The sequence below is a fragment of the Homo sapiens genome, chromosome 1 (assembly GCF_000001405.40).
Source record: "Homo sapiens chromosome 1, GRCh38.p14 Primary Assembly".
NCBI classification, from domain to species: domain Eukaryota; kingdom Metazoa; phylum Chordata; class Mammalia; order Primates; family Hominidae; genus Homo; species Homo sapiens.
In genome coordinates, this window is record NC_000001.11 from 162564107 (window position 1) to 162577909 (window position 13803).

At 39.5% G+C, this 13803-nt stretch overlaps 1 protein-coding gene across 17 annotated transcripts in view, besides 1 other annotated feature; it reads left to right on the top strand.

Moving 5' to 3' along the window:
- UAP1 (UDP-N-acetylglucosamine pyrophosphorylase 1) overlaps nucleotides 1-13803 on the top strand; it is a 39710-nt gene that overhangs the window by 2576 nt on the left and 23331 nt on the right. For 14 of the 17 annotated variants that reach the window (XM_047428845.1, NM_001399790.1, NM_001388401.1 and 11 more), the window contains 2 exons: nucleotides 1906-2242; nucleotides 12671-12875. In XM_047428845.1, coding sequence (XP_047284801.1) covers nucleotides 1963-2242; nucleotides 12671-12875 — 485 coding nt within the window. In that variant the 5' untranslated portion in view covers nucleotides 1906-1962. Of the gene's footprint in view, nucleotides 1-1905; nucleotides 2243-4175; nucleotides 4281-12670; nucleotides 12876-13803 lie in introns of all 17 variants that reach the window. The other 3 variants (NR_174352.1, NM_001399791.1, NM_001399793.1) reach the window with 3 other exon arrangements.
- Nucleotides 1598-1657: a silencer, noted in NCBI's record as "silent region_1494". NCBI's record gives its function as "represses an Ori minimal core promoter by ATAC-STARR-seq in GM12878 lymphoblastoid cells {active_cell/tissue: GM12878}" and the evidence as "EXISTENCE:reporter gene assay evidence [ECO:0000049][PMID:35858748]".

The following is a 13803-nucleotide window of genomic DNA, read 5'->3' on the forward strand; positions in this document are numbered from 1 at the left end:
TTAAAATTAAAAAATAATAGCATCATGACTCTTGAAACCTATATAAATCAATAGGAATGCCTTTTAATACCATAATGAACATTGAAAGCTGAGTGTTGTTATTACCACCTCAGGGAACACACAGATGTAGGTTCTCTAGACCTGAGCTTGTAAATGGAGTTTGATGTTTAATGATCCTGGTGAGGTAGATACTATTATTAATCTCATTTTACAGATAAGGTAACCGAGGCATGGGGAAATTAAGTGGCTCAGCTTAGCCTAGAATTGTGCTCTGAACTACCATGTGTATTACTTTTCACTGTTCTTATAGGAAGAGAAGATAAGTGTCTTTAGAACCTACTTTTAACCTCTGTCTCTCACATCGAAGCAATTATAATGCAGTGATGATTCTTTACAGTGACCCTCAAATTTATTCCTTTCACTCTCATTTTCTCTGCCACTAATCTGGTTCAGACCTTTGGTATTTCATACCTGCAGTTGTCTTTTAACTTCTTTTCCTGCTTCTAGTTGTCCCTCCTTACAATCTATTGTATCCATTGCTCCTTTCTCTCATCTCTTTAAAGCATGGTAACACTGCCCTGTTTGAGAATCTACTGTTCGCTTTCTATTACTTATTCTCTGAAGTCTAAATTCTTTTGGTTAGTTTTCAGGCTTTTCATGATCTAGCCCTACCCCAGGCCATTTTATATCATTTGTCATACGTTAACCTTCTTACTGCTTTCCATCCCACACGTGCTTGCTCATCATGGCCACCAGGCTCTGCTTGTTTCCTAATCTTTTATTTTTTTGAGATAGAATTTCCTGTTGCTGAGGCTGGAGTGACATGATTACGCCTCATTGTAGCCTCGACCTTCCGAATTCAGGTGTTCCTCCCACCTCAGCCTTCCAAGTAGCTGGGACTACAGGCATATGTTACCACATCTGGCTAATTTTTGTGTTTTTTGTAGGGGTGGGGTTTTGCCATGTTGCCCAGGTTGGTCTTGAACTCCTGAGCCCAGGCCTGTGCTGGGATTACAGGTGTGAGCTACCATGCCTGGCCTCTAATCTTATCTATGTAGTCTGCCCAACCCTTAACACATGGCTAGATTGTGCCTGTTTGTGAACTTTCTAGACAGCACCTATCTCCTGTTGCATTTGTCTGTATTGGGCAAGTAGATTAAATATTTCCCCATTTTCTTATTTTTTAGCACTATGAAGTTTAACATTTTACTATATTATCACAGAATATAGCTCTTTAGAAAACATTTGTCTTATTCACTGATTGTTATATGTGTATTGCTTGTCTCTTTAAGGAGGATCCAAGTTTTTAATGAGTAGAGAAAATAGATGTGTTATTGCTTCTTTGCAGAAGTTGCTAATGAAATGAAATGTATTTTTCCTTATTATAGGTTGTTCTGTCTTCCTGAATATTTCATTATACTGACTACAACAACACATGATAGTATTTCTATCATTAGAGATACAAGGAAAACATTTAAATATTAAGCAGTCAGGTGTTCTTTCAGTGGTAGCTTAGTGGTCAGAGGACTAATACAGAGACAACTAAGTGTGGTAGAGAGTGTGAACCATGTCATCAGGCTGCCTGGGTTCCTGTCCCAGCTCCACTCACTGGTTAGGTTACTTAGCCTCTCTGCCTGTCTTCTCAGCTGTAAAAGAGTGGTAATAATAGTGCCTATGCCATAGTGTTGTTGAAAATTAAACAAGACCATGAAGGTAAAGTACTTAGAAGTGCCTGGTACATATTATTGTCTTACAGGTTTGATCTCTTACAAATATTGAGTGATGGAAAAGCAGAAGTTAATTTTTTTAACATCGTTTTGAAATATTCTTATTTTTAGAGGGGAAAAAAGCCCTCAATTTTGGAGGTTGGATTTTGACATGCCATTAATTACTTTTCTCTTTTAGGTTTACAGGTACATACATTACACCCCTATTTCTACAAAGCTTGGCTATTAGAGCATTATGAACATTAATGACCTCAAACTCACGTTGTCCAAAGCTGGGCAAGAGCACCTACTACGTTTCTGGAATGAGCTTGAAGAAGCCCAACAGGTAGAACTTTATGCAGAGCTCCAGGCCATGAACTTTGAGGAGCTGAACTTCTTTTTCCAAAAGGCCATTGAAGGTTTTAACCAGTCTTCTCACCAAAAGAATGTGGATGCACGAATGGAACCTGTGCCTCGAGAGGTATTAGGCAGTGCTACAAGGGATCAAGATCAGCTCCAGGCCTGGGAAAGTGAAGGTACTGGGCATGTACATATTTCTTACTGAAGTTTATTTGAGATATACTAAAATTGTTCAGGTAGCTGGATCATGTCACTAATATTTTGATTCATACTACATTAAACCAGGTGACCTAGCAGAAAGTGACAAAATTGTCTTTTTATTTTTGATGCTCCATTTAAGGCTTCTCTCATTCAAGTCTTAATTTGCCTCCAGTCTCTTTCCCTCCTCAATTTCCATACTTCTGCTAGATTTCTTTTCCTGAAGCACAAGTTAAATACTTAAGTTTAAGCTGGCTTAATTTTTTTTTTTTTTAAGACAGAGTCTCACTCTGTTGCCCAGGCTGGAGTGCAGTGGGGCGATCTCTGCTTACTGCAACCTCCACCTCCTGGGCTCAAGTGATTCTCCTGCCTCAGCCTCCCAAGTAGCTGGGATTATAGGCATGCACTACCACGCCTGGCTAATTTTTGTATTTTTAGTATAGATAGGGTTTCGCCATGTTGGCCAGCATGGTCTTGAACTCCTGACCTCAAGTGATTTCGCCTGCCTTGGCCTCCCAAAGTGTTGGGGTTACAGGTGTGAGCCACTGCACCCAGCCCAGCTGGCTTAATCTTTAAACCTGCCCTAACCTGATCCTAACCCATATTTCCAATCAACATTTTAGCTGAACCAAATAATTCACCTTTCCCTGAACATGATACCATGCCTTCCCTGCTTTTGCTCATGTTTATCCTTAGCTTGATGTGCCCTTTGCCCTTTCTCTACCTAGCTAGGTCACCTTGTAAGGTCATTTCTTGCAGTTGTGCAGTGCAGTAGTTCTGCCAGTTGGGGAACTTACACTCATTCATTAAGGTTTACCACACATAATATTTTATCTATGACCTTTTCTTTTGTGTCCCAAGTTAGAATTAGTTGTTCATGCTTTTATTTCATTCTAGCTTATCATAAGAGTTCTTCCTCAATAAATTGTAAATTCTTGAAGAACAGCCCATGTACTAGTTGTCTCTGCATGTTACGTAGCATTTAGAACAAGAGTTTTATAGTTATAAGTTGATCAATAAGTGTTTGTTGAATTGCCCCAATGCTTTTCATTCTAAAGCATGTAAAAAAATCTTTCCCCTTAACCTAATACTAATTTGTGCTTTTGAGAATGGCAAAATAGCTCAACTGTAGCTTTTGGTGGAGTTGAAAGCTGTGTTTTTTATAATCTATTACTCCTCTGTAAGTAAAATGTTGACTAAATATTGTAGCTGATTCCCTCAGTGTTGGTACGTGATCCTTGTCAAATCTGGGCCTCATTTTCTCAACTGTGAATGAGAACTTGGGCAAATACTTTCCTTAGCTTTTTAAGACATTATTTTATTGCAAAAATAATATTGAAATAACAGATTGCCCATAATCTCATCAAAGCTATATTTTTATTTGCTCACATTACCACCCAGTACTTGATTGTGTACATATTTTTTTGTTTCTTTGTGGTTTTTTTTGAGACAGCCTCGCTTTGTTGCCCAGGCTGGAGTGCAGTGGTGTGATCCTCACTCACTGCAACTTCGCCTCTTAGGCTTAAGCAATACTCCTGCCTCAGCTTCCCGAGTAGCTGGGATTACAGGTTCGTACCACCATGCCCGGCTAAGTTTTTGGTATTTTTAGTAGAGATGGGGTTTCACCATGTTGGCCAGACTGGTCTCGAACTCCTGACCTCAAGTGATCCGCCCACCTGGGCTTCTCCAAGTACTGCGATTACAGGTATGAGCCACCGTGCCCGGGCAGATTGTATATATATTTGATTTCATAGATGTGTAGTAATACTATACATACAATCTTATAGTCTATATTTACAACATGGCTATTTTTATTTTGTTTTCCACTCTTTGGCATCCCCTTACCCCCTGTAAAAAGAAAGATTACTGGCATTATCAACCTGCTGTATACCTCTCTCTGTCTTTCTCCAGGCTGACAAATTTACTGATTTTCAAAGGGTGTTCCAAAGAACCCAAGGGTTTTCACTGTTGGGGAAGCTGCCTCTTATAGGGAGGGAGGGAGCAGATACTAAACTGGTAGGTCTCCAACCCCTTTATCCTCTACTATGAGTAGTTCTGCCTTTTTCTGTTCTGTGTGTTTGATCTTTACATGAGGTTTTATTTAAAAGAGTTTAGAAGTTTAAAAACAGTTTGAAAATAATTGGATCTTCTTCAAGGAGGTGCTTTTCAGATGTAAAATGCTTGGTAGTAGCTAACCTAGCTTTTTACTTAGGATAGGGCTCTGCCACTAAGATGTGAGAGAATGATGCCTAGGTATGTCCTTGTGAATGAAGAGTTTGATACCATGACTTCTATTACTTTGGATTCACTAATCCTTCCCTTCTTCCCTGGGTTTCAAAAAGGCTACTATTCCAAACCAAAAGCCACACAGGCCTTTCTTTACCCTCTAGTATCCCAGTTGCCTATATTTTTCCTGGGGATTTTAAGGGGATGAAGTCTTAGTAGTAACTCTTATGGAAAGTCAACACTTTGACCTTGTTGGGGAACATAAGCCACAATTAAGGTATCCTATAATTTGAGTCTTCTTTATGTCCTTTTTGTTGGACTATGTGGAGCTAGTCTACATTTATGACTTTTCATGTAAACTAAAATCCGGAACTATTAGAACCAAGTATAGCATAACACGGTGCAAACTTCCTTTTGGCTTAGTGTCAAAGGAAAGATATTTATCTGTAGCTTAAACAGTAAGGGTGGAGAAGGAGACTTTATGTTGACATTATATCCTTTTCACTTAGCCAGAAACTACCGTGTGTCTGCAAATTCATAACAAAATGAAGTTTCTGCAGTAAGTTATCAAAGCGAAGAGAAGCCATTGTGAAGATCATGGCATTGTATTTCAGGTAGTAGGAAGATCCTGGTAATTGTATCAGGGACAGTTTTTACTTCCCCACACCCCCACCTCCTCAGAATGGGGGAATGAAAGCATTGTCCAGTAATTGCAAAGTATCTGGTGGTTATTCAGATGATAATGGACATTTTTACAACTGGAGTGGAAAATTATTTATTTCTGAAGGTCGAATATAAGTGACCACTGTACTCCTTGTTGAAGAGAGATCTTGCTTTATTTCTTGAAGTTTTCTGGGCAGTTGTAGAAAATGGAATGTAAAGGAGCAACTAGAAAATCTTTATTTTACAAAGCTGAGATCTTGAAAGAGAAGTAATTATAAGCTTTGAGAATGCTGTATTAGTAAAGATACACTGGGAAAACCTGTTTGCTTGATAAAAATTCCCATTCTTTATTAAAACAAATGCATGCTTATTTGAACACAGATCTACCAATTTTATATTACAATATCTAATTAGTATTCAGTCTTAGCTTTTTTTGCCTATGAGACATTTTCCTATTAATCATAATGGTGCTTCTCTACCATATAGCACTATAGTAAAGTAAGTGGATTATTTAGAAGAAATGCATTCTTAACATTATCTCCTCTACATTTTTTGAAATCTAGGGTACTGATGTTTTTAATAGATTTGTTTTATTTTAAAAGTAATACAGCCGGGCATGGTGGCTCATGCCTGTAATCCCAGCACTTTGGGAGGCCAAGGCAGGAGGATCATGAGGTCAGGAGATCGAGACCATCCTGGCTAACACGATGAAACCCCGTCTGTACTAAAAATACAAAAAATTAGCCAGGTGTGGTGGCAGGTGCTTGTAGTCCCAGCTACTCGGGAGGCTGAGGCAGGAGGATGGTGTAAACCCAGGAGGCGGAGCTTGCAGTGAGCCAAGATCGTGCCACTGTACTCCAGCCTGGTTGACAGAGCGAGACTCCGTCTCAAAAAAAAAAAAAAAATACTTATTTTAGAGAAATTGGAAAATACTAAAAATTACAAAGGAAAAAATACTAATCTCTCTGATTCCACCATACAGAGATACTCACTAGTAATATTTTACAGTCTTTTCTTTCACACACACACATATGCATATATTGGGATTGTGTATAGTTTTGTAGCCTGCACAAGAATTTATCATGAAAAATGTCAAGGATATTTTGAAACAAATATTTAGTGGCAAATTTAGTATAGTGAACCCCCACATAAGCCCCCTTGATTAAAAATTATGAAAGTTTTGCTCCTTTTGCTTTCTCTCTCCCTCTTTTTTTTCCCCTTTGCTGCAGTATTTTAAGGCAAATCCCAAACATCATGTTATTTTTATCCTCATATAGTTTGGTATCTATGTCTAAATATATGGGTGTTTTCTTACTAATCACATGCCATTATTATACCTAATGAAATTCATCTAATGTAATCTCTGCTATCAAAAACTGGTTCAGATAGAGATTTTCCTGATTAGTCTGCTTTTTGTGCTTACTATTTTGGGGAAATATTGTAGTTTCTTTCAGCTATAACGTGATTAAAAATTAAAGACTTAAATTATTCTCTCTAACTTTCTTGGATAGCTTTCCTTTATTCCTACCAGTTGAGTAGCCTGTTTACCCAACTCCACTCATCCTGGAGTTCTGATAATTTAAATGAAAGTTCTGACAGTGCTTTACTTCAAAAGGACCTGTGCTATCTTCCTTGTTAAAGTGTATAGGAGGAACTAGTCTAAGTAGGAAGTTATCCAGGAAGCATTTGACCTCTGACAGGCCACTGTAAACTTTTCTCTCTGTTTCTTGTGAATGTTATCAGAAAAAGTGCTTAGATTCTCTTGGGCCCACAATGCATGACTCTCCAAGGAGAGAGATACTCCAGCCCTAGAAATGTGTCAGTCTGGCTTTCTTTTTTTTTTTTTTTTTCTAACTTCTGATTTTTTTGTTTGTTTGTTTGTTTTTTGAGGCGGAGTCTCACTCCGTTGCCCAGGCTGGAGTGCAATGGCATGATCTCGGCTCACTGCAACCTCTGCCTCCCAGGTTCAAGCCATTCTCCTGTCTCAGCCTCCCCAGTAGCTGAGATTATAGGCGCCTGCCACCACACCCAGCCAATTTTTGTATTTTTAGTAGAGACGGGGGTTTCAACATGTTGGCCCGGCTGGTCTTGAACTCCTGACCTCAAGTGATTTGCCTGCCTTGGCCTCCCAAGTGCTGGAATTACAGGTGTGAGCCACTGCACCTGGCCGCTTTTTAAAATTTCAATTTCAGTTTTGCCTGTGTTGAGTTCCCTTGTGTAGGAAAATTATTAACCCTTATGTCTTATCATGGAGAGATAGAAAGGGTGATACAGTGTTGAACTTTTCAGTGTTTTTCAGTATTTCTGCAGAGGTAGCTTTAGGATAGAAATTTATAATTTCCTAATTGTCACATGGGTTTAAATACATTTATATTTAGTTAACATTTTTCAGGTAGGTGCTGTGCTGCCCATATAAAATTTATGTTATGACAAAAGCAGTCCCAAAAAGCTTATTGAATTTTATTGGGCCACTTAATTCAAAACAGCATTTTATCTGTCATCATAAGACAGATACTAATTTATGTGTTACATACTTTTGATAAACATTGCAACTTTATCGTAGTAACAGCTGAAGTAGATGAGTACTGAGTACTTCAGCCAGTGTACACACAATTTGATACTGTGAACAATAGCTGTAGCTGCATTTCATTTGTGAATTACAGCTGGCCTTGATTCTCCAGGAACTGCTGCCTTTTCTCTTGTTTTTCACTGTTTGCTCATAAGTGAGATGTGTAAACAGGAAGAAGTTAATGAAAAGCCTTTTTATTGCAAATATATGTGGATTGTGTTATAATTCATTATAATAGTTGTGGTTAAATAGAGATGAGATGTAAATGGATATCTACCTGGTAGTGTACATCTGATTGGCATCATCTCAGTGCCACTGTTAATTGGTGACTTGACTGGTTATCAGGTTCGGAGATGGAAAGAAGCACTAAAGAGCGAACAGGAGTTTAGGAAACAAACACATGCCATTTATCTGAATAAAGAATGAGGCCACTGTGAGCTGCTGGTTAGCAAAACTTTAAATGTGAAACAACTGGAGAGTAGGAATGAAGCAGTAATTTAGGGAACCCATCTAAGGAAGAGAAAAGTTTATACAGGGCTATTTTCATACCTGGTTAGACCTATAGAAAGCACTGAATTGATGTTGAATGCCATCAGGTGAGCAGGAGCTGAGACATGGAGCTGGCTCTGGGAGTGTAGCTTTTACCTTTTTCAGGTCAGTTAGCTGAGGGAAATAACTTTCCTGGGACTGAGAGTGAAAGTAAGAAGTCAGGAAGAAGGTTGGCACCATGTTAAGAGTAAAACAACTTAAAACACATGTGCCATATGAAGAAAATGTACTGTATAAAAAGAACAGAGATCTCTGTGTCCAAAATGTAGGTATTTGGCACTTCTTTTGAAGATGTTCAGAAATATTTTTTATTATAACACCTTTGATGGTATGCAAGTGTCCAGACAGGAGTTCTTTATCTGCATTTCGAAAATGGTACAAAACCTGACCTGAATAGACATGACTATTTGTCAACTTTATTTATCCCACTTAATGTGATTATAGGGTGCTGTTTCATATCTGCTGGGGACATATATAATTATAATATAGCATTTTATATATGTACTATAGTCCTTTTATAAATTTTGAAGAGTTCTGCGTTCTGAAACAAATCTGACCCATGGGTTTAGGTAAGAGATTGTGGACTCATATTTTAAAACAATGCTTTGTAGGTGACAGCAGAATTAAATTTATTTTCTAGAAACCATAGTTTATTTGATATAATTCAGGGAATAACCAAATATAAAACAGTTTTCAAATGTCTTGAAAGGTTCCCTGTTCCCTTTAAATTTCTTCATCTCAGTTTTTGTTATATAGTGGTTTATGGGTCTTGCTTAAGGCACATACAAACTCAGAATGGCTGTTAAAAATTTCAGTGTTTGGGAAGTTTTGGAGAATGTTGGCTCTTCTTGCTCAACAGTTTTTTCATTTAGGATGGTGGGTAAGACAGACTAAAAAAAAAAGGCAGCACAACCTCTGGTGGCAGGGTGGTGTGGTGGTGAAGAGGCCCTGGAGTCAGGTCCTAATCCTGATTCACATTTACTAGCTATGTGACCCTGGGCGAGACTCTTAACTTCTCTGAGTTCATTATCTCTAAAGTGGTGAAAATTACACAGTAACTGCCTCTTAGATTATAGTTACTATTTTGGGTTCTATTTTGGTACACCTGATTTTATGTTCTTATTTTCAAACTCTGATGAGGTACAATTAAATGCTATGGAGTTAATGAGGACAATTCTGGTTTTAGGGAAGGAAGAAAGAAGATTTAACTCTCAGGTAGCTAAGGTCAGCTTCATATCAAAGGTGAAAATTATGAAAATACATAATGTGCTGTTGGGTTTTTAAATTGAAAAAATAGCAGGAATAGGCTGGGCAGGGTGGCTCATATCTGTAATCCCAGCACTTTGGGAGGCTGAGGTGGGCAGATCACTTGAGCCCAGGAGTTCGAGACCAGCCTGGGCAACATGGTGAGACCCCTGTCTACTAAAAATACAAAAATTAGCTAAGTGCGCTGGTGTGCACCTGTAGTCTCAGCTGCATAGGAGGCTGGGGTGGGAGGATCACTCGAACCCAGGAGGCAGAGGTTGCAGTAAGCCAAGGTTGTGCCACTGCACTCCAGCCTGGGTGACAGTGTGAGACTCTGTCTCAAAAAAAAAAAGAAGAAATAGCTGGAATGATTGCTGAATAATGTTCTTGGACTATACTTACTAATAAAGGAAAAATAGAGTCAGAACTGGCTCTAAATTTATAATGGAGTTATTTTTTTCTTTTCTTTTCTTTTTTTTTTTTTTTTTGAGACGGAGTCTCACTTTGTTGCCCAAGCTGGAATGCAGTGGCACGATCTCAGCTCACTGCAGCCTCCGCCTCCTGGGTTCAAGCAGTTCATCTGCCTCAGCCTCCTGAGCAGCTGGGATTACAGGCATGCACCACCACACCCAGCTAATTTTTGTATTTTCAGTAGAGACGGGGTTTCACCATGTTGGCCAGGCTGGTCTTGAACTCCTGACCTCAGGTGATTTACCCACCTTGGCCTTCCAAAGTGTTGAGATTACAGGTGTGAGCCACTGCACCTGGCCGGGTTTATTTTTCTTTATGTTGTTGACCTACTAGTGTATTAGCTTTAAGAAAACCCAATATGTCAAAAACAAAGCACAAAGTTGGTAAATGAAATAAACCCACATTACCTAAGGATTTTAAAATAATTGATAGTTGCCATCACTGACTGCGTCGTCTGGCTTAGCCTATAATTGTGGCCAGTGGCCAGGTTTGTTCACAGAATTTCTAAGAATTCTAATGAAAGTATGAAACTCAGAAAACAAGAACGAAACTGTTTACCATGGTTTTAATTTTATAGTTTTTCTAGCTTGCCAGAGACCCAATTTCCACATAGCCTCTTCTCACAAGCTACTCTGCCTTATGGTACTGAGACTGTCCACTTTTGAATAATAAGATGGGTCTTAGGAATGGATTATGGCAAGATTTTTTTTTTTTTAATTCAGACTGAGAGCTCTTTTGTAGCTTTTATAGTTACATTTATTTGCATTTGGATCTCAAATCATCTTGAATTTATTTTGGTTTGAAGAATAACATTTTTATTCAAACATTATGCTTGATGACTATTTATTGCTGAATATTCAACTGGCAAAAATTGACAGGCTTCCAGACCAAAGAAATAAATCAGTAATGAAGATAGTCTGAGTCTTACATTCTTCTTAGCTGGTATAGATGGCCCATTTTTTAAAAAGGCATTTTATTTATTTATTTATTTTTGAGACAGAGTCCCGCTGTGTTGCCCAGGCTAGGGTGCAGTGGCACGATCTCAGCTCACTGCAGCCTCCGTCTCCCAGGTTCAAGTGATTCTCCTGCCTCAGCCTCCTGAGTAGCTGGGATTACAGGTGCTTGCCACCGTGCCTGGCTAATTTTTGTATTTTTAGTAGAGATGGGATTTCGCCATGTTGGTCAGGCTGGTCTTGAACTCCTGACCTCGGGTAATCCTCCCGCCTTGGCCTTCCAAAGTGCTGGGATTACAGGCGTGAGCCACTGTGCCCAGCCTACAAAAGGCGTTTTAATAAATTAATATATATTTACATATAATAAAATGCATTAGTTGTACCTTTTGATTTTGTTTTGTTTTTGAGAAAGAGTTTTACTGTCACCCAGGCTGGAGTGCAGTGGTGCAGTCTTAGCTCACTGCAACCTCTGCCTCCTAGGTTCAAGCAATTCTCATGCCTCAGCCTCCTGAGTAGCTGGGATTACAGGCATGCACCACCATGCCTGGCTAATTTTTGTATTTTTAGTAGAGATGGAGTTTCGCCATGTTGGCCAGCCTGGTGTGGTCTGGAACTCCTGGCTTCATGTGATCTGCCTGTCTCGTAGTTTTATGTTTTTGTATTTTGTTTTTTTTTTTTGAGTCTCGCTCTGTCACCCAGGCTGGAGTGCAGTGGCGCGATCTCGGCTCACTGCAACCTCCGCCTTCTGGGTTCAAGCAATTCTCCTGTTTCAGCCTACAGGTGTGTGCCACCATGCCTGGCTAATTTTTATATTTTTAGTAGAGACAGGTTTCGCTATGTTGGCCAGACTGCTCTCAAACTCCTGACCTCAGGTGATCCACCTGCCGCGGCCTCCCAAAGTGCTGGAGTGAGCCACTGTCCAGCCAATTTTATGTTTTAACAAATGTATACTCACGTAGCTACCATCCCAATCAACATAAGCACATTTCCATCACCATACAAAGACTTCTGATGCCCTTTGCAGGTGATACCCCAAGCGCATTCTGTTGAGTTGGGTTTCAAACCAGAAATCCTAACTTCAGAGCCTGAGTTCTCGCCCATTATACTTTACTACTTTCCTAACTGAAGATTTATTTTCTTTATGTAGCTTACCTGCTATATTTGCATGCTCATTGATTATTTATTATAGGCTGGAGGTAATTTGATAGTGTCATCATTCATCCCGAAACTTTGGTATTTTCTTTACTCTGTCTTTTTTTTGACTTGCCACATCAATTAGTCATCAAATTTTTGCGAAACATTTATTATATCTCTCGGTTCTTACCTCCTGACATTATCAGCAAAAAATATTTAGTTCACTAAAATGCATCGTTCATTGTTTGGTGTTCGGTTGGGTTATATAAATTTAATTGTTTTAATAATAGAAATGTTTTTATTAGCAAGGTAGTCATCCACGATTCTATGTAGATTCTGTATTCTCTGTGCCTTACGTTGATAAGCCCCTATCTTGTTATTTCAGTCCCATGTGATCAATAAAAGCAGCAAGCAGGCTTTGGTCCAAGCCAGATTCTCCACCACTAGCCTGTACCCAAAATCAGCAAATGGCCTCAGGACAAGACAGCTGTATAGCCTTACTTCCTTTTTGATGAGTCTTTGCTGCTACCTATGTATATTTAATACTAAAGTGTTGAATTGTAGAGGTTTTGTGATACAAGTGTTTTCTTTTCTAGGACTTTTCCAGATTTCTCAGAATAAAGTAGCAGTTCTTCTTCTAGCTGGTGGGCAGGGGACAAGACTCGGCGTTGCATATCCTAAGGGGATGTATGATGTTGGTTTGCCATCCCGTAAGACACTTTTTCAGATTCAAGCAGAGCGTATCCTGAAGCTACAGCAGGTTGCTGAAAAATATTATGGCAACAAATGCATTATTCCATGGTAAGATACGTCTCATTATTGGAGTGTGTCTGAACATATATTGTTTTATAATATTCAAAATGCATATATACTTTATGCACTCACAGACATATTTCTTGTTACTGTTGATTTTCTTGGGAGGTATAATTTACTATATATGTTAAAAGTGCTATATATTATTGCTTGATAGATGACCACTATTGACTTAATAAGCAATATATACTCACCGCCAACTTTTACATTCCTGACTGAGTACCTTAAAGTACTCAGTGAGCTCTCTGCATCTAGAAACTCATATTTTCAGGTACCAGGTTATTTAGCTCTCCCACACCCATGCGCCTCTTCCGCATACACACCAGGTGAAAGCTGCACTGACTTCTGTGCTATGGGCCATACTTGTGTCCTCAGCCTCTACTAGTATGCTGTATTCTCAGGTTCTCAGGGGCTCCACCTTGGTCAGTGTTAGTTCCTTCCCTTTTTTTTTTTTTTTTTTTTTTTTTTTTTTTGAGACAGGGTCTGTCTCGGTCACCCAGGCTGGAGTGCAGTAGTGCAGTCTTAGCTGACCGTCACCTTTGCCTTCTGGTCTCAAGCCATCCTCCTACCTCAGCCTCCCCAGTAGCTGGGAATACAGGCACCTGCCACCATGCCTGGCTAATTTTTTTTTCTTTTTGAGAGGGAGTCTTACTTTGTCCCCAGGCTGGAGTGCAGTGGCGCGATTTCGGCCCACTGCAACCCCTGCCTCCCGGGTTCAAGCGGTTCTCCTGCCTCAGCCTCCTGAGTAGCTGGCATTACAGGCACACACCACCACACCTGGCTAATTTTTGTATTTTTAGTAGAGATGGAGTTTCACCATGTTGGTCAAGCTGGTCTTGAACTCCTGACCTTGTGATCTGCCCGTCTCAGCATCTCAAAGTGCTGAGATTACAGGCATGAGCCACCGCACCCGGCT